Source organism: Homo sapiens, chromosome 15, assembly GCF_000001405.40.
Source record: "Homo sapiens chromosome 15, GRCh38.p14 Primary Assembly".
Classification (NCBI taxonomy): Eukaryota; Metazoa; Chordata; class Mammalia; order Primates; family Hominidae; genus Homo; species Homo sapiens.
In genome coordinates this window covers 96,312,838-96,340,586 of record NC_000015.10, presented here as the reverse complement: position 1 = coordinate 96,340,586, position 27,749 = coordinate 96,312,838, and the positions used below count along the sequence as shown (strand labels likewise).

The 27,749-nt window shown below is 45.7% G+C and overlaps 1 protein-coding gene, 1 long non-coding RNA gene and 1 other non-coding gene across 8 annotated transcripts in view, besides 2 other annotated features; 1 reads left to right on the top strand and 2 right to left on the bottom strand.

Annotated features, from left to right (window-relative positions):
* Nucleotides 324-14,541, bottom strand: NR2F2 (nuclear receptor subfamily 2 group F member 2). Of its 4 annotated transcripts, none has more exons than NM_001145156.1 (3): nt 7,966-8,022; nt 5,984-6,511; nt 324-3,239 (listed from the first exon to the last, which is right to left on the bottom strand). In NM_001145156.1, the coding sequence occupies exons 2-3, from the start codon at nt 6,492-6,494 to the stop codon at nt 2,965-2,967; spliced, it is 786 nt and encodes a 261-aa protein (NP_001138628.1). In that variant the 5' UTR covers nt 6,495-6,511; nt 7,966-8,022; the 3' UTR covers nt 324-2,964. The 4 variants fall into 4 exon arrangements, with proteins under 4 accessions (NP_001138628.1, NP_001138627.1, NP_066285.1 ...); NM_001145155.2 differs by lacking the exon at nt 7,966-8,022 and adding an exon at nt 14,235-14,541 and having other exon boundaries at nt 329-3,239; NM_021005.4 differs by lacking the exon at nt 7,966-8,022 and adding an exon at nt 8,040-9,887 and having other exon boundaries at nt 329-3,239.
* Nucleotides 5,898-6,860: an enhancer, noted in NCBI's record as "H3K27ac-H3K4me1 hESC enhancer chr15:96876956-96877918 (GRCh37/hg19 assembly coordinates)". NCBI's record gives its function as "activates a minimal SCP1, AML or CMV promoter by ChIP-STARR-seq in naive H9 embryonic stem cells {active_cell/tissue: H9 hESC(naive)}" and the evidence as "EXISTENCE:reporter gene assay evidence [ECO:0000049][PMID:30033119]".
* On the bottom strand, nt 7,280-7,326 carry MIR1469 (microRNA 1469). The gene has a single exon (NR_031715.1). It is a non-coding gene; the product is annotated as a microRNA 1469 (primary transcript).
* Nucleotides 9,995-10,134: a silencer, noted in NCBI's record as "silent region_6852". NCBI's record gives its function as "represses an Ori minimal core promoter by ATAC-STARR-seq in GM12878 lymphoblastoid cells {active_cell/tissue: GM12878}" and the evidence as "EXISTENCE:reporter gene assay evidence [ECO:0000049][PMID:35858748]".
* Nucleotides 13,226-27,749, top strand: part of NR2F2-AS1 (NR2F2 antisense RNA 1) — a 200,002-nt gene continuing 185,478 nt past the window's right edge. For 2 of the 3 annotated variants that reach the window (NR_102743.1, NR_102744.1), the window contains exon 1: nt 13,226-13,388. This is a non-coding gene — a long non-coding RNA (NR2F2 antisense RNA 1). Of the gene's footprint in view, nt 13,389-13,468; nt 13,632-27,749 lie in introns of those variants that run through there. The other variant, NR_125738.1, reaches the window with a different exon arrangement.

Sequence of the window (27,749 nt, the reverse complement as noted above, 5' to 3'; positions counted from 1 at the left end):
CGTCAATTTCACACAGAACGCGCTCGCTGGGTCCCAGCCCTCGTCTTTTGTCCAATTCAGTCGCAGCAAAGATCTTTTGTTCTAACTCAGCGTGAAAAGAAAAACTTTCTTTAAATGCAATAAACTTAAACCGAACTCAAGACTCTAAACAGATCCTCCTCCGGCCACTCTAAACATATACAAGGGGGTTTGTTTTAACCGGTTGAAAAATTTTGGGTCCTGTTTTTCTGCCTCGCAGACCCCAAGCTCATTGCTTAAACTTAAGAGTGCGAGAGAGATTTCCAACGTCTAGAACACATGCTTAAAGCATAATAAAACAGGGATTGTCTTTTGCTTTGAAAATCATAAATTATAATTTAATGCCAATAATAATTTACAACAAATGGCTGTTTACAATAAACTAACACAAAACAAACAAGGAAAAGGGCCTGTGTTTTACTTATTAGAGAAACTTCACACACTCACATGGATAGCACTTGCAAGAGGAAGAAAATCAACAACAACCGACAAAACCTCGAACTAAAGGTCAGCAATACTGTGCCGTAAGAACATACTTGTATTTATATATGTATATATCTACAGAAATAAGTGAGAGTCAGATGGAGAACTCTGCACAAATCAGATTTTACTGGTCTGCATGTATTGACTGGATCTGAATATTAACGTTTAATACACTTTACAAAATTATCCCTGTTCTTTCACCTCCCTCACTAGTCCTCCCCCCCCCCCACCAATTAGAATTAAACCACAACATGATGAAGTACTGGCGGTGGGGGGGTGGGTTGGAAACCTTGAATAAGAACAAAATTGCAAGCTCCCAGCACCGAGCTTCCTCCAAACCAGGAAAAGAGAAAGAGGAAAAATGAAAAAAAGACTCCAAAAGAAATAGTTACTACTTCCAAATCAGCACACCCTGTAAAGTTTCCCTCCTTCCTTCTTTCTTTTTCTCTGTCCTGCTTTCTCTTCCTTAATTTGGCTTCTAAGGACAAAGGATCCCAAGAGCAGTACAGATTGTAGCCACACAATCTGAAATGTCAAAATGTCGATGTGTTTTTATGTACATAACTCCAATGGAAAAGATTCCCTTGACCCTGTGGTCATGCTCTCACAGACTGAAGGTAAAGGGGGGGAGGGGAGAGGGAAACCAACTGCAAGTTATCATATATACATTAAAAGTAGACCTTTCAGTCTTAGAACCTGTATCACTGAATTTGAAACTCTCTCAACAACCACGCTAGAGTAGAATCACAGAATATTTTAAAAAATCGTACCTACTTAAGGAAAAACTCACTGCAAACAACTGTCCTCTAGTTACAATGCTGTGATTAGCTTGCTTGAACGATCTTCTGAGTAACTGTCAGAAATGTACAAAAGAGTATTTTTTTCTGATCATAAAATAGATACTGATCTCAAGATTTCTAATACTTTTTCACAATACCTTCCCTAAGCAGGCACTTAAGTGTGACAAATATAAGGGCCTTTTTTTTTTTCCTGGAAAATCCATTTTTAATTAAAAGGAGGATTAGGTGAATGGGGGTGGTTTACTATATCAGTATGGCACTTCCTAAACCATAGATAAACCATTAACTTCAGCTCCCCCCCCAACACACACACACCCAAATTAAACAGGCAAATACAGTAGTCCACCTTTGAACAAACTGACTGAGGGGAGTAAACAAATGCCCCCCCCCACCACCCCCCGCCCGGCCAGCTAAGCGAGAGCTCACAGGGGCTCTTCTAGATGTAAAGACAGTGAGTGGGGACAGCCAGGTTTCAGATATCAAATAATATTTTAATTTCTGAATACTTTCAATTTTCCTTGGAATATAACACACAAAGACTCGACCAAACAGTTCAGTTATTATAACTTTTACAGTATACAGAAATGTTGCACTTAAAAAAAAAACCTTCAGTTTTTTTAAAACACAAACTGTAAACTCTAAGATACTGAATCAATCACGTTACCTATAAGTGCCAACAGTGTTATTTTTGTCATGCTGATTTCAATGGTATTTTTTAAAAAGGGAAAATATCAACAATTATAATACAAAGGGTTTGCAAATATACAAACAGATATAGGATTTTCATAACAATTCAAGAACTAAGCGGGACCCAATTCAAATTACAAAAGTTCACTTTTTATTCAAAACCTCAGCATGTGTCTTGGACACATTCCTTGGCTGCCAATAAATTCCACAGTTCATTCTCTTTCTTAAAATATTTTTTAAAAGCTAGGTTTGTCATGGTTTCTTTTGGGGAGGGGCAGGGTAGGGGAAGTTAAGTGTTATATGTGGTTCCTCCAGTTCTCTAATTAGAGTGCTCGACTTCACCTAAAAATTTTGGTCACCACTTGTAAGTGCGTTTCCATCATCTTTGAGTTGCCTTTTAAAGTTTTATGTCTTCCTATGGTATTTTCATGGACTCAGTTTTAATTCTTGCAGAACATATATTTTAATGATACACAGTTTTTAAGAAGCCAAGATTATATCAAAACTTATTATAGAACCACAGAATAAACTGGTTTGGAACCAGAAAAGTACAAAAAAGAACAGCTAGAGGTACATAGACACAGGACAATTAATAATTTGGAAAAAAAAAAGACTTACTTTCTCCATTCTGCTAATTGTCTCCCAATCTCCTTAAATGCACTTTTAGCAATATTTTTCAAAAATTTACCAAAAAAAGAAAAAGACTAATTTCCTTTTTATACAAAAATGATAAGTAGCAAGTTGTTCTGACCGACACAGGAGTTTTTTTTTTTTTTTAATGCATTCTGTAAAAGTTCATTTGACAGTCTTTTTTTTTTTTTTTGAAATTCACAGTCCATTAAATTCTTCCCCTCTCTTCTTTTAGCAAACTTGTAACATCCTTTTATATCCTTTCTTAACAGAAGGAAATTAAGCAAACAAACCAGTCTTTTGCCTTTTCTTTCTCTGTTTCACTCCCCCTTCTTATTTTATTTATTTATTGAATTGCCATATACGGCCAGTTAAAACTGCTGCCGGACAGTAACATATCCCGGATGAGGGTTTCGATGGGGGTTTTACCTACCAAACGGACGAAAAACAATTGCTCTATGACTGAGGAGGAGACGGTGCGGAGGGAAGGGAGGCGAAGCAAAAGCTTTCCGAATCTCGTCGGCTGGTTGGGGTACTGGCTCCTAACGTATTCTTCCAAAGCACACTGAGACTTTTCCTGCAAGCTTTCCACATGGGCTACATCAGAGAGACCACAGGCATCTGGAAGAAAGTTTAAAAACAGAAGAAGAAGAAGAAGAAAAAGAAGAAGAAGAAGAAGAAGAAGAATTCAGTCATCAGATTAAGAGGTTTGAATTGGGTCACATGAGGTGTGTGCACAGAGCTCTGTCAAACTGCCCCAACCGGAGTTGGAGCAAATGTCTATGTACTGAAAACTTAAGGGGGGGAGGCGGGGTGGGGGAAGAAAGAGCAAGAGATGGTCCTGAGGAAGTGTTTGCTTTAAAATAAAACATAGCTCAGTGTGCTACAGGCTTTCACTGCCCGAGTCCTTAGCCTGGGTCATTGAGAGGCCCAAGCAAAAGTGCATTGGGTCTGTCTGGCCCAAGTCAGTAAACAGAAGAAACCAAAACTACCAGCACTCTCTCCCCTCCTCCTCTGTAAATAATAGTTTGGCTTATAATTATATAGGGGTTGGGGGTTGGGGGTGGACAACCTGGCCCAGTCCCGAGTAATGGCGTCCACGATCCAGCCTCAGATTCCCCCCAAAGAGGGCGACTCATTTTTCTCCAGTCTTTGAAACTGATTTAAGTGGCCCTTTAAAACTGATCTTGTCAGTTTAGCCTATTGAAGGGCAGCCATGCAAACCGTGATCTCTCTGTTCATTTGAGCTGTTTCTTTTCCCCCTTTTTCTTCTCTCTCCCTTTTTCTCCTACCCCCCTTTATTTTTTAAAACCCAGGTCCCTCCGAGAAGCATCCCCCCTCCCTGTTATCTTCAGGAAAACACTTTTCTTTTTTGATACGTGAAAATACAGTAAGTGCCTTTGAAATGAGAAGCTTCTTGGTAAAGGCGGTTCAGGTTGTGACCTGACCTTTCAGGGCTCCCCATACAAGACTGGGGTTAACATATGCATATTGTGAGTCATTAAAACAGATATTCGAAAATCTCCACCACCACCTCCACCCCAAGAACCAGAACACACATGCAACCTCCTCATATGTATATCTAGGACTCTGCATGTCTACAGAATGTAGAGGTGTCTGTGGACAGGAACTAAAAGATCTGTTTGCACAGGACTCCTTCCCTCGGCATCCTCGGAACTGTGTGTCTCCCTCTGAATCAGATAACAGGAACCTTTATCTCTTTGTGAGGCGATTTGCATTCTCCACACAGGCCTCCACATTTTGCAAATAGTCATAAATTAAACTGTTAACGACAGTATCAGGCATTTTTTTTTCCTTGAAAGACCAAGGGTAAGGCTAAGAGCTAGCAATGATACCAAGAAATTAACGACTACCTCCATCGTCCAAGAAGGTGGGCTGGGTGTTGGGTTGTGGGACAGGGGTGAAGGTGGCTATGAGGTAGGGAGATATCTTGTCTGTATATCTGCAGCAGGCAAACGTTCTAGGTATGAGGGGCACTCGAGAAAAATAATCCCTATCCAAACCTCTGCAAACAGCTTCCCTGCCCAGACACTGGCCTTTAATTGATTACCTAAGGACTTCCAAAGGCAGAATTTGGGGTGGCTGTGCTGGGAGGTTTTATGTGGAAAGCAGCAATGTACAAGACAGCAGTTTGAGGACTAAGAAGCTGCAAGCTGTTCAGCTAATGACTTAGTTCCCCAGACTTCTTTCGAACAATAAGGAAGAGATTGTGGACCTCCTTTATGTTTGCCACATAAACTACACATCTCTCCTCGTTTCCTGTTAACAAGCTTAAAAAATTGTAGTGGGTGACTAGGTTCCAAGCCCTGCTAACGTCCAGATGTTTGTTATTCTTAATCGGGAACCCCTTTCCCCTCTCAGCCATGACAAAAGGATCAGCTGACAACTTAGTACAAGAATGTGAAAGGGGGTTGGTGATTTCCATCCACCTGGGCTATGCTGAACTCAGCCTGGAGGCAGCCAAAAAGCTCAGGTGTGGCCCAAAATGGAAAGCCAGACACCTTCAAAAATCATTTTGCCTCAAGTTAATTAGTATCAGCTCTATTACTCACACAGGTTAAACTACATGCAAACTAATTAGATTGCATAATGCAGTCAATGATGGTTTTATATCTCTAGCAACATCCATATCCAGCCCAAGTTGGCATACACTTTGGGTTGTTTGAAAATTGCCTTAAGTGTTTGCTTGGGCAGGGGAAGCAAGAGGCCAGAGTCTTCAACCTCCTGCAGACATTCTGAAGAGTTATGACGGTCCCTTTCCTCCTGTTGCCCCATCCTGACACATCTTTTCGCCTCTCCTGGCAGTCTGCATTATTCCAGTAAGAATATGATTTTGAAAATTGCTGCCCTCAGGTTGGATTTGCCTGGAGCTCCAACTCCTATTGAGTTAGCAGGCAAACTTTTCCCTGCAGAGACAATGTCAGGGCTGCTCCACTGCCCAGGGCATCTCCTGGAGGCCCAGCCAGGGCGCTAGAGAAAACCGAGGGCTTGAGGAGATTCCCTGGGGCCCAGCAGGCCCGGGGGGCCTGGGCTCAGGAAAGGGAGCAGGAGAGGGCATCCCAATCTGGATACTGCAGGTGGGGGAAACAGGCAGCAGAGGCTGCCCTATGGCCCATGTGGGGAATCTATCTGAAGCATCCTTCCTGCAATCCAGCCTTCCTCTCCTCTCCCCAGGACAGGCCTGGTAGTGCCCAGCAGCTATAAAAAGTTCCCACTTTAAGTTGCACTCAACAGTTTGGCCTTTCAAGGAGCAGACTGGGTTTGCCCTGGGGACTCCCAAGTTCTCTGGGCCCCAGCTCTGGGCTAGGAGCCCGTGGGCACGAGAAGACAGGGCTCCTTCCTACCTGAGGTGAACAGGACTATGGCCTTGAGGCAGCTGTACTCGGCTGAGTCAACGTGCAGCGCCTTGAGCTTCTCCACTTGCTCTTGGAAGATCCGTATGTGGTCCATAAAGGCGACCACCCGGTCGGCGGACATGGGCGAAGCATGCAGGCCGGCGGCGGCCAGGAGCGGGGCGACGTGGAGGGGCATGGAGCACTGCGCCGCATTCAACACAAACAGCTCGCTCCAGGTGAGGCGAAGCAGGGCCACCTGGTCCGTGATCTGCAGGTCGGGGAAGAAGGGGATGTTCCGGGCCCACTCGACGGCGCTGAAGAGCATCCTCGCGGCCAGTTCGCAAATGTTCTCGATACCCATGATGTTGTTGGGCTGCATGCATTGGCTGCCGAAGCGCGACGTGGGATAGGGCTCCGCGCGCAACAGCAGGGAAATATATCCGGACAGGTACGAGTGGCAGTTGAGGGGATCCCCGTTGGTCAGCGCGAACTGCCCGTGGGTCGGCTGGGTCGGCGGCATCCTGCCCCTCTGCACCGCTGCGGGGAGGAAAGGAGACACTCCACAGTTAATGACCAGCCTCAGTCCCCAGGTTCCCCGGCGGGGTCTGCCCCAGCCCGACCCCCACCTGACCCAGGCCCTGAGCAGCGCAAGAACCAGGCAGGCCTGCCACAGAGCTGGAGTCGCCAGGCTCTTGGCACCATTCCTTTCAAACCACCACCCAGGCGAGCTCTGAGGGCCAGAGGGGCACACTTGCCTCCGAGGCCCGCTCGGGGCTGGTCCGCCGAGGACCCAGAATTGGCCACCTTGCCTCGGGGTCCCCGGCGCTGTGGGCGGGATGTAGCATTCTGAGGGCATCTTTCTTCTTTACTGCTAAACAGCTGATATTTCTTATTGATTGGAGGAGAGGGAGCGGGAGGGGCGAGTCTGGGGGGAGGGTGAGGCGCTTTTGCAAAAGGCACGAGGGTCCACCCCAGACGGCCTGTGGCCACTCCGGAACGACTCTCCCACAAACCCCGAAGCCCCAGCCCCAGCCCGGCGGGGAACCCCCCCAGTGAGAGACAAGCAGAGAGCGGAGGTCTGGCGTCTGTCTAATCAGTGTGCTCGGAGAAAGAGACGGAGGGAGAGGGCGGAGAGAGAGAGGCCGGCTAAAGAGAGAGGAAGCCGGGAGAGGCAGGGAGCAGGCGGCCGGCACTAGCGGAGCCTGGGCAGGGCCTGTAAGGGCCGGGGAAAGCCGGCGAGGCTCGGGCCCAGGCTGTTATCTGACTCCGGACCGGGAGAGTCGCTCTCGCAGAAACACAAAGAAACCCCGGCGTTGGCTCGCCCCAACCCGGAGCCCGCGCCCCGCGCCGAGCGCGCCATTGGCAAAGCACGGCTCGCGGCGCTCGGCGAATTTTATATCACAAAGACCCAACTCGCGCAGAGCGAAAGCAGCCGCCCAGGGCCCCTCGCCCACCCTTTCCTACTTCCTATCGCGCTCTCTTCGTTTCAAAAAGTGAAAGGAAAAAAGAAAGCAGAGGTATTTTTTTTTTTAGCAGGATGTTAATCCACGGAGGGTCACATGAGCGCTGCCCGGGCGGCAGCGTTAATACGGCGAAGTGCATAAAATTGCCATTTGTAATTTGAACCTCCTGTACAAAAGTACAATCTCAGGTTTTTTTTTTTTTTTTTTTGAGAGGGTGGGGGCTGGGGAAAGGGGTGAGGGGGAGGGACATGTTGAACATGCAGGAAAAACAAGGGCAGAGAGAGAGAAGTAAACTAGGCTTTAAAACAACAACAACAAACACCCCATCCCTTGCAGAAAGGCAGACTCCAGTGAACTCACAATCAATGCAAAGGAAATGGAAACAGCCCAAAGAGAGAGTAAAGAAGGAAATCAGTCGGCCAAAGCATGCGGATTTGGGGTCTGGGTTCCAATGCAGAACTCGCTTCTAGTATAAAACCCTTTTCCGCTGCAATACGAAGAGAAGAGCTTGGGGCTTCTTGTCCTTACCCAGAGCAGGCTAGCCAAACGTACCCAGGACCCCGGGACCCAGGACGAGGGAAGGAGAAATGAGAGGCCGATACCTTCCCGTCTCATGCCCACTTTGAGGCACTTTTTGAGGCGGCAGTACTGGCACTGGTTGCGATGGTGCTGGTCGATGGGACAGTTCCGGTTGGCGCGGCACGTGTAGCTCAGGTTCCTCCGCACGCTGCGCTTGAAGAAGCTCTTGCAGCCCTCGCACGTGAACTGGCCGTAGTGCTTGCCGCTCGACTTGTCTCCGCACACCACGCACTCGATGTGTTGCTGCTGCTGCTGCTTGTCGCTACCCGGGCCGCCAGGGCCGCCCTGGCCACCGGCCGCCGTCTGGGCTGGCGTGCTGGCTGGGCCCCCTTGGCCGGGCGTCTGTGGCGTGTGCGGGGCGCCGGGCGGCGGGCCGGGCACGGGCGGCGCCTGCGAGGCCTGGCTGCCCTGTGAGCCGGGCACCTCGTCCTGGGGGTCGCGCCACGTGCTGACTACCATTGCCATATCTATGGGGGCTGCGTCCGGACTTCCTGCTCCCCTGGCTGCGGGCGGCGGCGGGGCGGCGGCGGCTCCCCGGGTCTCGGGCTCCGGCGCGCCGCCTTTTGTGTGTGCGAGGGTGCAAGAGGGCGCGGGAGGGCGCCCCGGGTGGCTCGGGGGCTGGTTGGTTGAGGTTGGTTAGTTTTTCCTTTTTTGTTTTTGCTTTTGCAAAGTTTTGTCGATGGCTTGTCTGGCCCGGTGTGTTTGTTTTGTTTGTTTCTCTCGGCTCAGCTTTGTTGGTTTCGGGGGGCTTTCCGCCGGGAGGGGAGGGGAAGGGGACAGGAGAGCGAGTGGGAGCAGAACGTGGAGAAAGAGGGAGGGGAGGGAGAGCTGAAGTCGATTGTCTGGCTTCAAGACAGAAGTAGGAGGCAAAAAAAAAAATCTCTCCAAAGATCTCGCTCGCTCTCACTCTCTCCCTCCCTCTCTCGTTCACTCTCGCTCTTAGAGCTGGTGTGCAGCCGAGGAGTTGGCGGAGGAGGAGGAGGAGGAGGAGGAGGAAGAGGAGGTGGTGGTGAAGGAGGAGGTAGAGGAGGAGGAGAGGCGACTGTCCGGGGGCCAAGTCCAGGGCAGCCCACAGTCAGCCATTCAGGAAAGCCATCGAAATCAGGAGGACTAGGAGATCGGAGGCGCCGGGTGCGGGCGCGCCCAGGGAGCCAGGCAGGCCGGGGCGGAGGCCGGCGGCCCGCGGAGTGGCCGGAGCGCTGCCCGGGTCCGGGGGAATCAGCATGAAAGTGGTCCGCGTCGGGCGCTGCGCGGCGTCGTCCTGGCGCTGGGCCGCCGCCGCCGCCGCCTGCCCCGGGCGTCCGGCGCGCGCCTCGCTCTCTCCGGCCGCCGCCGCCCGCAGTCGCTGGGTGGAGGCCGCTCGCCGTTCCCTGCGGGCCGCCCGGGCCGCCGCTGCCGCCGGAGCCGCCGCCGAAGCCGCCGGGTCGGGCCCGGAGCCGCTGCGTCTAGCGCCGCCGCCGCCGCTGAAGTCGCTGCTGCCGCTGCTGCCGCCGCCGGAGCCGCTGCTGCTGCTGCTGCCGCCGCCGCCTCACACACATAGGGAAAGAGTCAACTCGCCGGCGGCGGGGGAGAAATGATAAAAGAGAGAGAGGAGGGCAGATCACCACCTAGAAGCACATCCTTCGTGCGCAGAGGGGGGAGAAAAAGACGGAGAGAAAGAATGAAAGAGGGGAAAAAAGGCAGTACGGCACCCGGAGAAAGGAGGCAACTCGGGGAGAGGAGGAGGAGAAGAAGAAAACACACACGCGCGCACGCACACACACACCGCGGAGAGAAAAGAACAGAGAATCAAAGTGATCAAATATGCTAAAAAGGGGGGCGCGGGAGGGAATGCGATTTATAGGCGCCGGGGCTGGCAGAAGTGGCTTCTCCGCGATCAGCTCACTGAGCTCTCTATATAGTGAACTTTGACACGACTGCTGCAACTTAGCGCACGTTGCCATGGCGACGGCGCGCCTTATAAGGCAGCAGCCGGGGTTGGCCTGGCCAGGCGCGCGCGCGCCGCCCCCTCGCCGTCATTGGCCGGACTGCGGCGGCCCCGCCATGGCGGCCGCGGGCGCAGCCCGGTCCTAGCGCGAGCGGCGTCGCCGGCGCGGCGCGGGGCACGCGGGGGACCGGGGGTTGGGGGGGCGGGGACGGGGTGGCCGCGCCGCCGCCGCCGCCGCCGCCGAGAGGGGGATGGGCCCGTGCTGGCCCTGCGAGCGCTGCCTCTGCTCTCCCCACATCCCGCACCCGAGGTTTCCGCCCCGGCGGGGAGACTAGCGCAGCGCGCACACACAACGTCTCTTAAAGGCTCCGCGAGAGGCTTTGGATGGAATCGGGGAGTTTGCCTCTCGCAACTTGGCGATGTCACGAATTCCGCCGCTCGCGCACCACCCGGGACTCCTGGCGCATCTTAGTACCCACAATGCCAAAGAAAAGTTCCCTGGTTTCTTTGCAGAGGGATAGGGAGTGAGGGTGGGAAGGTGCCACGAACTGAGCTTGTAGGCATTTTCCAAACGAAAGAGTTGGCCAGATCCGGGTGATGGCAAACCCTTCTCTTAATTAACTCTGATCACTTGTTCGGTTTGGTGACATATATATATGACATATATTCTTTTCAGAGGATAAAGGCCGTTCTGTTTCTGTTTATTCCTTGTAGGGTTAACATTTCACAGGTATGTGGCCTGACATTTTAATTGCCCAAATAAAGCATCTCGGATGCTGAGAAGCAGAAATAGACTTCATCTGATTGTCATGATGCAATTAGAATCAATTTTCCTCAACTTTACCCTCTCTCGCTGGTTTTAGCTAACTCTCCAGCCAACATCCTGCCACACACCCAGTCATGGTGAGAGGGGAAAGACCTCTGCCCACTGATGGACAGGAGGAGGCAGCCGCCCAGCCTCCCCTGTGCACACCCTCTGTACACACATGTAAGCGCACATGTATCAGATGCACATTTGTCAATGTACACAGACAAAGACTTCACCGACTATGCTTCTAGGTCATAGAACAGTTGAGTACGGACTTCATTGTTCCTCAAGTTCCTTTTAAGCATTCATATAGTCATTAAAACGCACCCAGAGATTCTGCCCCAAATGGGAAATAATACTAGTACAGGTCACAAGAACCAAACCCAAGCCATATTCTACCTCAAGAAGTCACTGCAAAAAGAACAACTTCATAGCCTATTGCCATTCTGCTCCATGTGCTAAAATAATTGAGACAGTTGTGTCTTTGAATTCCAGGGTGTCTGGTTTTAAACATCAAACATGTAGAATTGCTCTCAGAACACACTATATTCCAACGCAGTAAACTTGTTGTTTATGACCAGTTAGTGAATTATCATTATTCCACATTTATACAAGAAAATTGTGTCTCCTTTGTACACACTTTGCACCAAGAAAAAACCTCATGCCGGTAAACCAACCAGGTTTGTGAACAATTAAAATATTTTACACAAAAGACGCTGAGCTCCAGGAAAGAAATGAACACATATGAAGAGTAAATTGATGACCACAGAAAACATCCTTGGTAGCTGAAAAAAAAATTGACAGGGTAAAGATATTTTAAAAATAAACCATACATATAATTGACATGCATAGATCACATTTTACATTCAATTCTCTTTACACACATAGGCAGAATATGAGGTAAGGACTAAAGATCTGGGCAGATAGGGGCTGGTTTTTAGGAAAGGAAAAATCTTCTTTAAGCTTCATTCCCGAAACCTCAGCCCTCACTCTTTCTCCGATGAAATCACGTATTTCACTAAAGCTGCAGGTTCTCGGTTTATTTGAAAGTTGTTAAAAAAAAAAAAAAAAGCCCAGCAAACCTATAGTGGACACTGAACTATCATAAACCTGGTGTGTAATAAGATTGCCACAGAATGAAGCCAAGCTGAGAATTTCAGGTTAATTAGAGACACAATATAACTTTCTCCTAAAGAGGATAAGAAGGATGGAAAAGAAATCATTACACAGGAGAAGGTTTTTGGTAGTTGTTGTTGTTTTCCCTTCCAACCTCTATGATTCAGGAATTGCTAATGTTACAAATGTCAGCAGATTCGGGACAAGCTCAGCTGAGATGTGATGAGACTGGGGTTGAGATAGGAAATCTAATGGGCATTCCCATCTCAATAGAGGATGAAAATAATTGATTATAGGGAAATCTTCATCTCACCTCCTGAATGAGACTTCCATAGCAGATTACCTTTTACAAACATGGGAAGGAACAATATCGAGGAGGAAGAGCTTCCCCAGTCCACTTAGAGATTTTTGGAATTTGAAGTATGCGTGATGGCCTTAGATTAAAATGGAATAATTTCCCAACCATATCTTAACAAATTGGAGCCTGCTAGGCAAATGATCACAGGGCTGCCATAAAGTCAGGGGTGTTTCACTCTGTATTTTAGGACTCATTCAGTTATGAAATGCTGTTACAAGGGAGAAAAAAAATCACCGTATGAATTATACTTAATTTTAATGCATAGAAGAAGAGACAAGACTACAGACTGAGAAGAAAAAAGGGCAAAAATATTTTTAAATGTCTTCTCCAGAGATGCTCACTTGCTGTGCGTCTAAGGTTAAAAAGCTCTGAGAAGATAAAATCAATATATTATTGTTGTTTTTTAAAAATCCAACTCAGTCTTTTTTTGCAGATGTAAATTTATTATAATGAGAAGAATGGCAAGCTTTAATTTGCCTAGAGAAAGTTGGGACAACATTTGCCCTAATCTAAAAAAGAAAAGAAAGAAACTCAACACCCAGGAATATAATTTTCTTGCAGAAAGTGGCCTGATGGGCTGTATTTCTTTACAGATTGAATCACAATATGAATACAGACCCCAGCAAATGCCGAGTTTAACTCTGAACTCAGTAGAAACCAGTTCCGTCCTCCAGGATTCATTGAATTCCTCCTTTCCCTCAATCTAGTCCGTGTGTGTTTTTCTCTTCCACCACACTGGAGCTCCATGAATAGGGAAAGGGGCTTCCATTGTGTCCCTCTGAACTTCCAAGTCAATGCAATTTTTAACCACTGGCTTGTGGTACTTTGAAAATCACCAGGGGCTGTCAGAGTTAGGTCCTCTGAAAAATTTACAGTGCTAAATCAGAGCATATGCTGGGAGGGAAAAAATTGCTTAAGATTAGAGCAAGTACAGTATCTGTCTGCCCCCTAGTGTAAGAGTCCTCGCTGCCTAAAATTCAACTTTAAAAGAAAAGGAGCTCTTAAAGGGAAACGACTTTGGACTCACGTAGGCATAGGAGAACGAAACTTCTGTACATTTTAATCTGAATAATTCTTCAGGATTTAAAATTAATTGGCTCTGGCTTGGTTGGACCGTACTCGGATCTCGCCACCTCTGCGTTTCCCGAGTCACTGGCGAAGAGGTGATTTTTTTTTTTTTTTGAACTGGGTTTATGTGCGTCCCCCTCACCCCCTCCTCTCTTTTTCTTTCTCTCTGTCTCTGTCGTCTCTCTCGCTGGCTTTTTAAAAATGAGGAACCGCTCCTTGAATGTTCTGGACAGAGCACAGAATTGCTTCTTAAGTCAGCCCGGCGCGGTTGCAATAGACAGCAAAAAGGTAAACGTTTGCCTGAAATCCGCACGCCAGCTCCACCGCCCCGCCCGATGGTGAGTACCCTTCTCGTCGCGATTCTCCTCCTAGCTTAACCGAGCGCTCGCCTACCCGAACCGTGGCCGAGGGCGCCGGGCTAGGCTTTTCTCCCTCCCTGCCTGCCTGGCTGTCAGTTGCACAAGGTTGCAAAATGAAGCGCAGAGGCAAAGCGAACAGTAAATTCTGATACTTAGTGCGAGCCTAGCAGCTCCTTTGCTAGAAAACCGAGTCATCTGCTGCTTGCAAAACCACGCTTTATAGGACTGGTTTTTAGTTTGCTCTGTGGAAGGAAATGAGTTTGAGGAGACAGGACGAGGAGATAGGAGGCTCCGCAGTCTTAACGCTTCGGTTTAATCATATTTTGGCAGCTTTGCAATTGTATTTTCCCCCCTCCCCCTCCACCATCTCTCCTACCACACACATGTAATAAAATATGGCAATGCATTGAATTGACTCTGATCCCCCCTTCCCCGAACCCCTTAAACCACAGTCCTCGGCATTTCATACACGTTAGCAAACCGATATTTTGAAAAGCCCCAAGTCATCCCCAACCCCACACAGCACAAGCAGAAAAGTGAGAAAGGAAAGAGAGAGAGAAAAAATACTGTAAGTAAACATACCAAAACCATATTTGCCTTGTTCAAGGTCCCAAACCGCTTGCATCTTCCTCCTAAACTGGAATAACTCTCCTTTAGTTTGGCGGGTGAAATAAATGCTTTGTTGGCCCCCTGAAAAGATGTGTCTTTGATAATTAAAGAGAATCTCCTCCTCGGTGTTTATCTAAGCGATTGTGCAAACTGATAAAAAGTAGGCACTAGCCTGCAGGGAAAAAGAGGAAAGGTGAAGGGAGAGATCTTCCACCTCAAGGAAGTGCTTCCCCATGTATTAGGCTCTCTCAGCCTTGGAAAACCCTGCACACTAACTTTAGAGAGACAAGGTTTCAGGGAGCTTTGTACATAGCTGCTGAGGAATGCAAGCCTCGCCTTTAAGAAAAAAAACCCCAAACCGTAGGTAGGAGATGTCTGGAGTGATCCTTGTCTCTCATCTCATTCCTTAGAAGGAAGAGTGCGTTGTTACACCTTGTTTGGGGCTGGAAAGACGAGACTTTAAAAACACCCGTCCAATTGAAAAAAATCTCCCAACTTAATGAGTTTAGTCGGAGGCTGGAGCAAACGGCTCAGCCTCAGCAGAAAACCGCCAACAACTATAGGCGATATTGCAAAGCAAGACGACCCAAGGCACAGCCAAATTCCACTGTTTGGGGTCGAGAGAGATGGAGGCTAATCCTAAAGCAAGTTGGGAAAAAACAGAGGTGGAAGAGGAGGGGGAAAAAGCATCAGCCTCGCAGACTGGCAGACAGGCTTCCCTCGTCCTGGATCAAAGATAGAACTTGAGACAAGAGGGCAACATTTTTCCTAGGAATCCTTTGGAATCCTCATTTTCTACTTTTAACTCAAGTCTCCCCAAGTGATTTTTCCCCCTCTCCCCTGTGGATTTCTGCCTCCCCCCTTTCCGGTCCTTATTCTAGAACTTTCCTGAGGAGGAAATCTATTTCTTTTGGGGGGAGGGGTTCCCCATTCCATGCCTTCAGATAATGAATGCTTCATTCACCCCCTCCCTTTCTCTACTCCCCAAAACGAATAAAGGAAGCAAGAATACGGTAACTAGTGAAAATTGAATATAAACTATGCTGCCTCTCACAGTTTAATACTGTCTTAACTAATGGATTTTTGTTTTGTTTTGTTTTAAGAGAAGAATAATGGGGAAACACGGATCTTTTATTTTAGGAAACTGTTATGGTAAGATGTATGTCAGACTTGACAAATGGAACTAACGCTCTTCGGCTGCTTCTTGTCCTTGTCTTAAACAGGAATTAAGTTAAACACAGTGCTGAATGTTAATTACATGTTTACTGGCTAATGAAAATTACAAATGGTTTTGCCACCTCAAACAATGATGAAAACTCTGAAGACACTGTAATTATATACTTTGAGCAAAATAACTCAGAATATTGATCATAAGAAGTGTAAATCTTTTTTAACTATTCATTAATACCATAAATATGGGCTACAGAAGTTTTTCCTTGCGGTTTGTCTCATCAGTTATACTGAGTGGATGGATGGTGAGGCTCCTCTGGGGAGGAGGTGAACTCATTCTCTTAGTAGAAGGAGGCCACTTGTGTAACTCGGGGGTGCCCCCTCCCTTTCGCCCCCGCCCCCTTCATCCCCAGCCGAAGGTCGAGGAATAGTTGAACAGGAAGGCTGGACTCAGGGCAGGTGAAGATGATCACAGCCTGGCCTTTTCTCTCCCCTCCCTGCCCATCTCATTCCTCTCCCTTCTCCCTTTCCTGCCAGTTCTGATAGATGACTGCCTTCCCCAGCTCGGGCACCAGTGGGATAACCTGGCATTCGGGGGTTCCTAATGGAGGACCAGTTAGACCAAGAAACTCACCCCCACCCACAACCCAGCCGTGGAGCCCTGACAACTTCAATTCCCTCCTTCAGAGATGGCTCAGGCAGTTCATTGCAAAAGAAGAAGAAAAAAAAGTTAGGGATGGAGGTTGCTATTGGGTAAGGTGGCTCAGGCGGCTGAACCAGAACTGGTTTCCCTGGGTTTGGGAGCAGAAAAAATTTTTTGTTGTGGTTTTCTTTTAACTTTGGCCAAAGTTGTAGTGCTGGCAGCCACTCGGATCTAGGAGGTCAAAGGTGAGGGCTGCACTAACCCTAAACGGCTGTCCTGGCCTGGCTACAAGGCCAAACAGGCAGGGGAAAGGGGGTTTGTCAGCCTTGCAGCTTGGCACTTTGGAGGGGGCATCTGTGGAACCCATACTTGGGGGGCACAGCATCAAGTGTGGGTTTTAAGTGAAATATTGAGGATTTTTTTTTAAAAAAGTGCCCTAGGCTTGTGGGACTAGAGTCCTCTTTTTCCCTGAGAATTCCCAAGGCGCTGGTCTTTGTCTTAGAAGGAATGGAGTTTCTGAATGGTGTGAAAGGGACAGAGAGGGTCGCTTCAAATCGATTTTACTTGTCCTTTCTGTCTTTTCGGATCAACGCCCTTCAATGGGCACAGAGGTGCTCTTTCAACCAAAAACTTGTGCTACATTTTCTGCCTGTATTGGTGCTAAATACAATAAGCACTGGGCAGGGTTTTTTTTTTTTTTTTCTTTGCTCTCCAAAGCAAGAAAGCACCCTAATTAAATTGTTTTATATGGACAGTCAAGACGGACCAATTAAGTATGCATTAGTATAAAGATATAGTCTGCAGATAAGGTTGTTTAGAAAATCATGTGTAGGACAAAGGAGAGGGCGCTAGCATTTTGGAGAGGTGCCTAGACCCAGCAAGGTCATGCCCCTTCCTTCTTGGGCCCCAGGGGAATTGCAAAGGCCCGGGCCCCAGGTGAGAGGGGAACAAGCTCGCTAACAGGTGGGCGACATTGCCGGAGACTTTCAGGCCCGAAGCCCCGGCCCAAGAGTAGTGGAGTCCGAGGGTCGGGATTCCTCACATCTTACTCGGGCAACGTAGCAGACCGAGGTAGCGCTCCCGTAGGACGCAGCGGGACCCCGCAGTGCCCTACTCCAGGTCCACGGTGCGGCCCTGCAATAATGAAATCGTCTGCGCCCGGGGAAGGCCAGGAGGGCCAGGGGACACAGACGGTGTCACGGCCGCAGCCCTCTCACAGCCACTATCAGGGCAGGAGGCCTCCACCTAACAATTCCAAGCTAAGCGCTTTTTCTGATCTTAGGAAAGAGGAGGAGTTTTTCTGCGAGGAAAGTAACGCTTCCACCCGACGCCATCCGGCCCGATGGACGTCGAGGATCAGTCTCCAGAGTAGGAGAAAGGCCGACGGGTCGGAGAAAGGGTAGCAGGGAGAGCGGCTCGTCATCCAGCAGATGCAGCTCTGGGCTTCTCCACCCCCTCTCCTCCCTCAGAGGTGTGGGCGGGCGGAGAGCATCTCTCCTCGAAGGAGGCGACCCCCATAGCAGGGGCCGGGGCCTCCCCGCGTCGCGGCTCAGGGCTGTGATAGGTGGTCCCCGGGCCGAGGGGGCGCGAGCGCCGCGCGTTGCTGCTGGAAGGGCTCGCAGGGCGCACAGGGCAACCCTTAGTAGGGCGGGAGGGAGGAGTGCGGGCGAGAATTAGAGCCTGGGGAAGTGGCTGAATGTCAAAAGTAAAAGGTTGAAAAGCCAATTTTCCAGGCGCGCTTTCGCCCCCCTTAGCTGGTTGCAGGGGCCGTAAATCAGCGGCCGGCGGCGAGGGCGGGAGGAGCCCCCTCGGCGAGCTCGGCGCGGCCCCGCCCGGACCGTGCGCACCTCCCGGTGGGCCCCGAATCGATCCGAAGCCCAGCTAAGGATGTCAGCGCACTAAATATTTACTGATCACACACAAATAGCCGGGGCTCGAACGATTTTCCTCTGTGAGGAGAGCGCGGAGAGAAGGGTAAATCATTTTATTAGTGTGGATAAAGCCCAGAGCACACTCCGGGCTGGAGTGTTTTAAGATGTGTCTTCAACAGGATGAAAAGAGTTAGGGAAATCGATACCGAGTGATTAGAAGCCCCCGGGGTGACGAAGGGGGACTGGGCTTTCAGGGATTTGGCGAGGCCGAGAGGGGGGAGCAGGCCTCAAGGGGGGCGGCCCGACCACCGCCAGGGAGCTCCCGGCTCAGGCCTCCGTCCCTCCCTCCTCGACGGGAGACGCCAGGGCGCAGCGAGCTGCGGGGAGTCCACTGCGGCCAGGCTTCGTGGTGCCGGCGCCGGGTGAAGGCTGCGCGGGCCGCCGCGGGGCCGAGGGCTTGAGAGCCACTGGCTTCAAGCCGCGAGTGGCAGAGGCCAGGCAGCCGCGGGAGTGGATTGCAGGCGCGGTGTGGGAACGCCGGCAAGTCCCCCGCACGCAGTCTCTCCAGACAGCCTCGGGGATTGAAGGTGTGGCCTAAACAGGTTGCATTTCTCCTGCTGGCATTTCGGGTACTCCTCCCAGCCGCGACCCGATGCACCCTCGAACTTTCTCCCGGAGAAATCTCTACCCATCCTGTCTTTTAATATTTTTCAAGAGGTCTCAATGGCCCATCCCCGCCAGCTGCCTCTTCCTCCCACCCACTCGGTGTCAGGGGCGGCCGCCGGGTGGCGGAACCCGCTGGGGACTGCCGGGAGAGTGGGTTCCAGGTTCCCTGCTCGTGGGCAGGTGGGACGACATCTGAGGCCGAGGAGGAAGGCAGGGGGCTGGGTGACAGGCACCGAGGAAGCCCCAGGACGTCAGCGTCCTCTCCTAGGCGGGAACTCAGCTTTGGGGGTACCAGGCCACCCCCAGCGATGGAAACCCGCCCGGGGCCCTTGGCTGGGTACTGCGAACCCAAGTGGCCAAGGAGTAAAGGCTGGCAGGGCTTGACGAAGTTAGCAAGGCTTTGAGGGGAGTTTGCTGGGAGGGAGAGCAAAACCCCCAAACTCAAGCAGCGAAGCCCTGGCGCGAAAATGGCTTTTCACTTCTCCAAGCGCAAGTCTCTCTCGCTACTGTGAACAAACCTTGAGGTTCGAAACAGCTGCAAATAATCAAGTAGGCGCAAATTTCGGGAGGGGAAAGGAGGGGCAAAAGGTAAGAAAAGGGGAGAATCTTTTTCGTTTCTTCTTCCTTTTCCCGCTCCTGGCCTTTTCCTAAATATCTGCGCTCCCTAAAGCAACTGATAGCTACCTACGTTTGTTTATTTATTTAGAAAGGTTCACCCCCCCCCCACCACCACCCCCCAATTGCTCGATTTTCTTGGCAGCTTGAGGGATCCAATCCAGGCTGCCCTGCTTGGCTCTTCGGTGCAACAGGAAATGTAGCTGCAGATCCAATTAACCATTTTCCAGAAGAGAATTTCTTTTTTTTTTTTTTTTAAATGAATCCCAGTGGATTGAAGCGACCGTGTTCAGGTGTGAGGCTATCGGGTACCTCGCATTCCTTCCCCGGTAATCCTCCAATTCCTGCGTTGGAAGTTCGCAAGCCAAGCTGACCTGGAAGGTGTCAGGAGCCGGGTGTCCATTAACCCTTCTTGGTCTTGGCCAGAACGAAGGTTAACTACAGTGATCTACCAAAAAGAGACGTAGCAAAAAGGAAGCGAGGGAGGGAGGGAGCAAAGGAAGAAGGATGAAAGGAGGAAAGGGTATATTCACTCTAGTTGCCAGAATTTTAGAGCTCTGCCCTTCACTGGTCCTCTCCCACCTCCACCCTTCCTATGAAAGCAGGTTTCCATTCAGATAGACAACAGTCTCATCCATCACCCGCAGCACACTCCATGGAGATGGACTTTAGGGAATAAGAAAATATAATATAGTGAAATATTTTCTTGTATTTAACTGACCGTCTAGTCCATTTAAAAAATATTTCTAACCATGTCTACAGCAGTAGATTGCCGTGGCAGAGAGTTTTAAAAACTAAAAAAAAAAAAAAAAAAAACTAAAAAAAAATTACATGGTTTATTTAAATAAAAGCTAATTTTAGAATCTTGTCAGTAGCCACATTATAGCCATAAAATCTGGGTGAGATTAGAAAAATATATTCTGCTGGTTTCAAACCTGGTGGCTGCAGGAAGGTGTATGCACGTGGGTGTGTATATTCTGATGGTGTTAGAAGTTCCTTGATGGATTAAAGGTTCATATACTCAGGCACTAGATAGAGGCTGTCACTCATGTGTACTGGCAAAAAGGCAGAAGGCAGTACAAAAAAGAGTTTTGAATGAGCTCCTTAGAACCACCATTGTTGAAATACAAGCTGAAGCAACTTAGCTATGGTAGAGCTACCGTGGCTTGCAAAATCACAGAAAGACACTTCAAAGTAAAGCCATCAGTTTTGCAGTTTGGTAGCTTTGGCAAGGCATTTAAATAAAAGGTGAGCATCTTTTGCCTAAATATTTAAAAATTCAGGGATATGCTACTCATTCTATTTTACTTTTCAATGGATTGAAGAATTAAAGGAGAACAGGCTATAGCTAGAGATGATGGCATAAGGGGGCTCTCTGCCCATTTAACCAAGTGTGATGTGGGCTATACATGCTTTTAATGCTAATATTATATTGTAAGGCAAATCCTGCTGAGAAAGTTCCAAAGACATCTAAAGCCATGTGGACATCAGCTCATACTTAGTAGTGGACAGAGTGAGGAATTATTGTCTGGTTCTATATTTTTCTCTTTCTCAAGAGTCTGGTAATGAAATCTTTTAAATGACAGTTAATTTTTGGTATGTAAAAAAAAGCATTAATCAAATGATATCAAGTGCCAGTCATTTAAATGTGAAGGTGTTAGTAAGGCAAATACCCAGATAAATTAATATGGTTAATTAGCTGCATCAGTAGTACTCAAAGAAAATACAAGCAGAACAACAAAAGGGATCTAATTTAATTTTCTTAAAACACAAACTCAAGGTGAATTGCAGTTGGAGAAAAATAGTTTAAGGAGCGATTTCCATTCTATTGGTTTTTATAAGGTTTTTTTTGGGGGGGGGACAGTTTCAATATAAAGGAGTAAGTAGGTGGACAGAGACAGACATACTGTCATAATAGGGAAACATGCACAAATTAATTACAACCTCATTTCTCCTCTTAAAAGGCTGATTTCTTGAAAAGTTGAAGGTGCATCTTAAAAATAAATAAAGAACTTCTGTGTAAAATTAAGAGAAGACTGTTTAACTTCATATTCAGCTTCTTGACCATAGGATGTATTAGCTTGAGAATTTACAAAGTGTATTGTTTAAATAAAATTTATACTTTTCTTTTTAGTTTGAATACAAGGTAGAGAAAGATACTTTTCCTATCCATCTATTATAATTCATAATAAATTAATCAACCTTATCTAGGAGATTTCTATGTACTTGACTGAGGTAAATGGATTGAGAGGAAGTCACTTTAAATAGTTTAAAGCAAAACTGAGAACATTAAAGGAAGGGAATATTGAATTCAGTGAAAAATGTCACATTGGTTATTTCTTGGCAGAACCACATCACATCACCGTCAGGGAGAAGAAGATAGCAAAATTGGGGAAGCCTATTTCTGTGTAGAATGTATGTTAATAACTTATTTACTTCTAAAGGTATGTTGCAATTTCTTTGCATATACTTTGTTGCCACATTACCAAGTAATTAAAAAGATGCTACTATTGTGATATTTAAGTAGTGAGGATTTTAAAGATACTTTTCTTCTTAGCCTCCTCTGAGTGATAAAGACTTATGCCTATTTACTCATTGATTTTCTTACATGTGATTTTGGTTAATTTAATGGCTTTTAAAATTAGATACTATTTTGCTAAAGTCTACACTGTATATAAATTGAAAACAAATTCAAAAGTATCAAATCTTTTTCAGGAATTGCAATTTGAATGTTCAGTTATTGAAGAGCTACTATTTCAACCCCCCAGGTTCTATTAAAAACAAACAACTAAACCTGTTCTTCTTTCCTAACAACTCTTAAAATTGCAACTGACATGGCTGTGGATGAATGAATATTTAATATGAGTCTTTAACCCTCCTTTCCTATTTACCCTGGAAATGCCTTTAATTTGTCTTTTATGCTTACGTATTTTAAAAAGCATTAGTCAGTATACAAGAATTATTCACTCCCTTTTTAAAATCAGTGAATAAAAATTCTAATTATAGAAAAGAGGTGTGATGTTTATTCTGAAGTTTCAGTAGCATGCTAAGGTTTTTAAAATAAACTAGAAGAAACACTATCCTAGATAAATTAAAATAGGGCAGTTGTTGGGTAGGGTTTACATTCATATCCTTCTGCCTTTTTGCTTTTGGTACAAAGATATTTGGGTTTTTGTCTTCACATACTGTCTATTGTTAACAGAGTGAATTTTTGAAGTTAAAAATATTTTCAAATTGTCTCGCCTTTATAGTCGAATGCATTATTAAATTGAAAAAATAATATTCACTTTTGTGTTCAAATTGGTATGTCCAGGCAATAATGAGAAAGGTATGTTCTGTAAAATGTCTCCTCCCCTAAAAAACAAAACACATAAACATTACATAAATTAAGCTCAAGAGAAAAAACAATTCTTAGGATTCAGTGTGTTTGAACAGTGGAGCTCTTAATAAGTTTTTAAAATTTTTTTATTTTTAAAACCTTAACTATCTTCTAAGATGGGACACTTCAGTTTTACAGTTTTATATACTTTTTGAATTTAAAAGCAAATTTTAACATTGCAGGATTTTTGAAGCGCAGAGAGATTTGAAAAATAAGCCTCCAAAATAAAAGACAGACAAGTGACAGGGCATGATGTCTTGCCTAAGTTTTTATGGACGTTACAAAAGTTTTCTTTTAAAAATTACAATAACATGCTTTTTCGTCAAGTACAAAATAAGATAGGAGGGAAAAAAAATGAAGAAAAAGTCTCCCTCTCACTCTCTCCCACCAAAAGACCCCAAACAACAACAAAACAAAATAAAAAGAAACCCAAATCCTAAACCCCATAAATGGAGCCCCTTACCATGTTGGGAAAGTTTCTGTGCAAACTGAACTGTTTCTGTGGGTCCTGCCAAGCTCCTGGCTGGTCAACTTTTTAAACACGGCAGGCAATGGTTAGACTGAGGTGAGCAGCCTGGCAGCCTAGAGAAGGAGGCAGACTAGAGCTCAGCTCCAGAGACCTACCACTTAGAGGGAAAGTTGGGACAGCAACTGTTGAGAGTTAACCTCTCCTTTCCAAAGGAGGTTTGCAGAGGCAGGACAGTGAGAGCTGATACCACCAATTTTATTCTTTTCTCAGGCATTTCTAACTTTTATGATTTCCCCCCTCCTTCCTTTACTATCTGTCTTTGTGCCTCCAGGGCCAGTGAAAGAGCAGGGCAGATTCTAGATTGCTTTCAGAGTTTGCCTTCTCTGATGATGGATTACCATGTCAATTTAAACAGCATAGGATTAATTTGTTTCAATGATTTCTCTTTAGGCTGAATGCCAGCCGTTTTTCTATCTTTCTCTTTGCTCTTCAGAACAACAACAACAACCAAAAAAAAAAAAAAAAGCCTTCTTTCCATATTCTAAGTTAAGAGACAATAATAGAAATAGACAAGTTAGGTGTAATGTTGCAACACAGTTATAGGTCTGAGTGTTTTTTATCTCTGCCTAAGAGGCTGAAACATACAGTCAGTCACATTAAAATGAAATTGGACTCAACATTTATTCAATAAATACTTGTCTTGTAGATAATCCAGTGCCGAGTGCTTTTGACATATAAGAACTTAATTTGTCTTGGATAACAAGTTATTAATATGGCACATTTAAACTTGCCACCTACAATAAGGTTACTGAGCTCTACAACAAACTCAAATGATCATTGTGAAAAACAGTTTGTGGGAAGAAGGGAGACATTTTTTGAGAATGCTTATATTATTATATGTAAGTATATTCACATACAAACCAGTAACACATAGGGGCACACATGCATGTGTACACACTCTCCCCAACATATGTGTGTGTGTGTATATATATATATACATATATATTCAGATCACATATGACAAAAATGTTCAGTGAAGTTAAAAAAAAGTCCATCCATTATACAGATGTATCTAACCTTTCCTGAATAAGAATGTGTCAGAGAATTTTCTCTTTTGAAAGATTTCTAAAGTGCACTTGAAAAATGCTGTTCAAATCCAATTTTTTTGCAAGACCAAACCCATTATGAGGTTGAAAATGTCACAGAAAAAGCACTTAGGTGCAATCCAAAATCAAACAACCCCTCCACATTTTTTACCTAGTCTGAGCTTGCAGCCAGCCAGAGCATGTTGCTGGTAGAATAAAGCCAATTTAAGTGAAATAATCTATTGCTAAAGTGATTATTTAATTTCCCGCTCTAACAGGAGGTCCTCCAATGGATGCAAAAGGACAGGAGAGACATTTCATCCTATGCACTGAATATATTGGGCAAACATATTTCGAATTACGGGCTTCTTTTCCACCACCCTCTTCTAATTGTCTCTCCTTTTCCCAGCATTCCCTCACACTGAAATTTACATTATAGTTCAGAATAGTAAAGTGCATTTTGAATATGAACACAAATGGATTCTATAGCCTTCCCCTTTTCCTCAGCCTTCTCGATGCACAGGTGGGCTTTATTCGAACAGGTTCTACTTTCTAAGGACATGCAGGATCAGAGGCCAATGACTGTCAGAACTGGAATCTATGCAATTTTAATTTGTAAAAAAAGTTATTGGTTGCTAACCTTGGGGGAGATTGTGCATCTCTAAGAAACCAAATCTTTGAGTGCTCTCCCTGGGAAATGACGTTACACATGAGCAGAAAAATCCAGGCAAGAAAGGCTAATTGAATGAAGAGAGAGAATTAGGTTAAAAAATAGAGTACAATCTAGTATCACATTTTCACTAGTGTAACTTGAAATGAAGGTGTCTTCAAGTCGCCAGTGTTGCCAGAGTGTTTAGATGTTGGCCACAGATGGGAACACCTATTGAAATGTGTCTGAAGAAGATTAATAGGGCTTGTCACTGTTGGGAAAGCACTGCTTTGCTGTAAATTTCTACCAGCACAAGATGAATTACCGATGAATGCTCACTTATCAACCCTATCACTATCGTTCGACACTAAATCAAATTGAGAAGTTATCTGCAATCAGAAAATTTCTTTTTAAAATAGACATACACTTTTAGGCCCCAATTCTTTAATAATCCCATGTACAAAACAATTCCCCATCCCCTGATGCTTCTTTAGCTTAAACAAAATTATATCTCAATAATGAATATATTTTTAAGTTTATACACAATAAGCAGCTGGTCAATTGCAAAGGTTGGCAGTATTTCAGAGAGGGTATGAAGGCTTCTTGGAGGTCATCATTTAACATTTCATAAAATGTTTGTGTGTGTGTGTGTGTGTGTTTTAACTTTTAGATCTTTCTCTCTCTTAGTTGGAAGGCAAAGAAGAGAGTGAGTTTACTGTTCTAAACCCTGTGACCTAATAGTCCTCTAATGCTCCGGTAAGATCAAATTCTGAGAGAAATGCAAGTTTAAGTAGAGAACAGTAAAATTGAATTCAACAGATGGCAGTGATACTTGGGGACATGCATTTATTCTTTTGTGATTTAATGGTATTTTAGGTATCTCTTTTTTAAGTTGATTTATTTGAGAAGCAAAGCAGGGGCATGATCTCATTTTATTATTTATTAACCAACTCTGAGCATCCAGAGGCTTTCCAACCTAGGGATAATTATGTTTTGATAAAACCATCAACAATTGTGTTGTTATAGGGCTCTACCTGTTTAAAAAATGTGGTCATATGCATGATTCATTTGATTTTTACTAAAGTCCTGTACAAGAAGAGATTTTGCATTCCCATTTTGCTGATGAGTAAACTGAGGTCATGGAGCCAATAGGAGCACAGTCAGAATTTGAACCTATTTCTCCTGGGTTCCTTTCAGGATTTTTTCACTCATCATTATGTAAATAAAGAGGAGGATGATGATACTAATAGCAGCTAACATTTACTGTATACCAGAACTATGGTAAGCATTTATTTATGTTATTTTATTTAATCTCTATACAGCTCTCTGCGGTAACTACTGCTATTATTTCTATTATCCAAGAGAAAAAAAATGAAAACCAAACAGGATGAGACTTAACAGAGTTTAAGGACCTGCCTGAAATTCACATTGTTAGTAAGGTGGAGGCATATTATTCCAATCCAGGAAGTCAGAATTCAAAGCTGCTGCCCTATCCTATGTTCCTGTTTCCAATTACAAGAAGTCTTAAATTGTATTGAAGGGTCACAAGAAACCCCACTTCTTTTCAGAATATAAAATTCCTTAGACTCTGCAGCAGTGTGTCATGGCAGAATAGGCACTGGTCTGGAAATAAGGAGACCTTGGCTTAAATTCTAGCTTTACCAGTTACTAAGTAGGTGACCTCAACCTTTATGCCCTTTACTTTCCTCATCTCGAAAATGAGTCGGTTGGGTCAAATGGATCTACGGACATTGCACTTGTGTGCTTCTCTCCCTTATGGTGCCCAAGAGGAAAAAAGAGGAACAGAGAAGCAACAGCCACCTATGCAGAGGTGAGTAGGGGCGCGTGACACAGTGCACTGTGAGAGGGCATGGCTCCCGCTTCTTGGAGACTGTCTTGAGGACACTCAGCATTAGAGGAAGTCTCCTTTTTCTTTTTCTTGACTCCAGAGAGCACTGAATACTTAAAACAACGATGGTTCTTTAGAAAACCATAGAATTTAAAACTTGCAAGAAAATCCTTACCTCCATTATTTTCCAAGTAAAAGAAAAAAAACAAAACAGGTCTGTAAAGGTTAGGGGACTTACTTAGGGTCATTGAGCTGGTTGGTGATGCAGTTGAAACTGGACCCCTTTCTCTTGGCCCCCAAACCAGGAATCCTCACCTCCTGAAAGCATCTTCCTTACGCTATGCTCCTTGCTCAACAAAAGATACTTTAGATTATCTGATCATGTCCCTATCATAACCATTTCCCTATTTTATGATGTGATACTTTTATTGGGTTATTATTGGCTGTAATATGAAATTTTTCTAGGTCTCTCTCACAATAGTTTTTCATAAAACCTATTAAACTCACCAGTTACATAGTGGAGGCTGCGATGAAGAATCACACAATAATAAGAATATTCTGTCATCTCCATTAAGTCACAATAACACTCCGATCTGTATTTATTACAATGCTCCTCTGATGCCTCCATCACCCAAATTGCTAGATTTATATTCTCTAATGGTCCCCCAATGGGAAAAACCTGTATTTTTAATTTTTGTTTTCCTGTCCCAAATCACCCTTTCATATCCCTTGCCTGTTTTGGAACCTCCGTCTGGATTTAATCAGAAGTTGCAAGACAAAATGTGCATTATTAAGAAATATAAATATTTTCAGAAGCAATCAAAGGGATGAAAGATTGATTCAGCATGCAGATTGGACCTAATTCGAAGCAGCTTTGTTCTAATGAGGGCTACTGGGATAGAAAGTCAGAAGCCATTGTGCCACCAGTTAGTTGGAAATTCCAATGCATTAGAATAAACTGTCAGGATTTCTCTTGCTAGATAGGCTGAAAACACTTTTTGCAAGCTATGTTCCCCAGTCTCTGGGCAAAACCACCTTCCTTGCCACCCTTAGGGACTTGTAATAGGTAATAGTCATCTTTGAGAAATTATG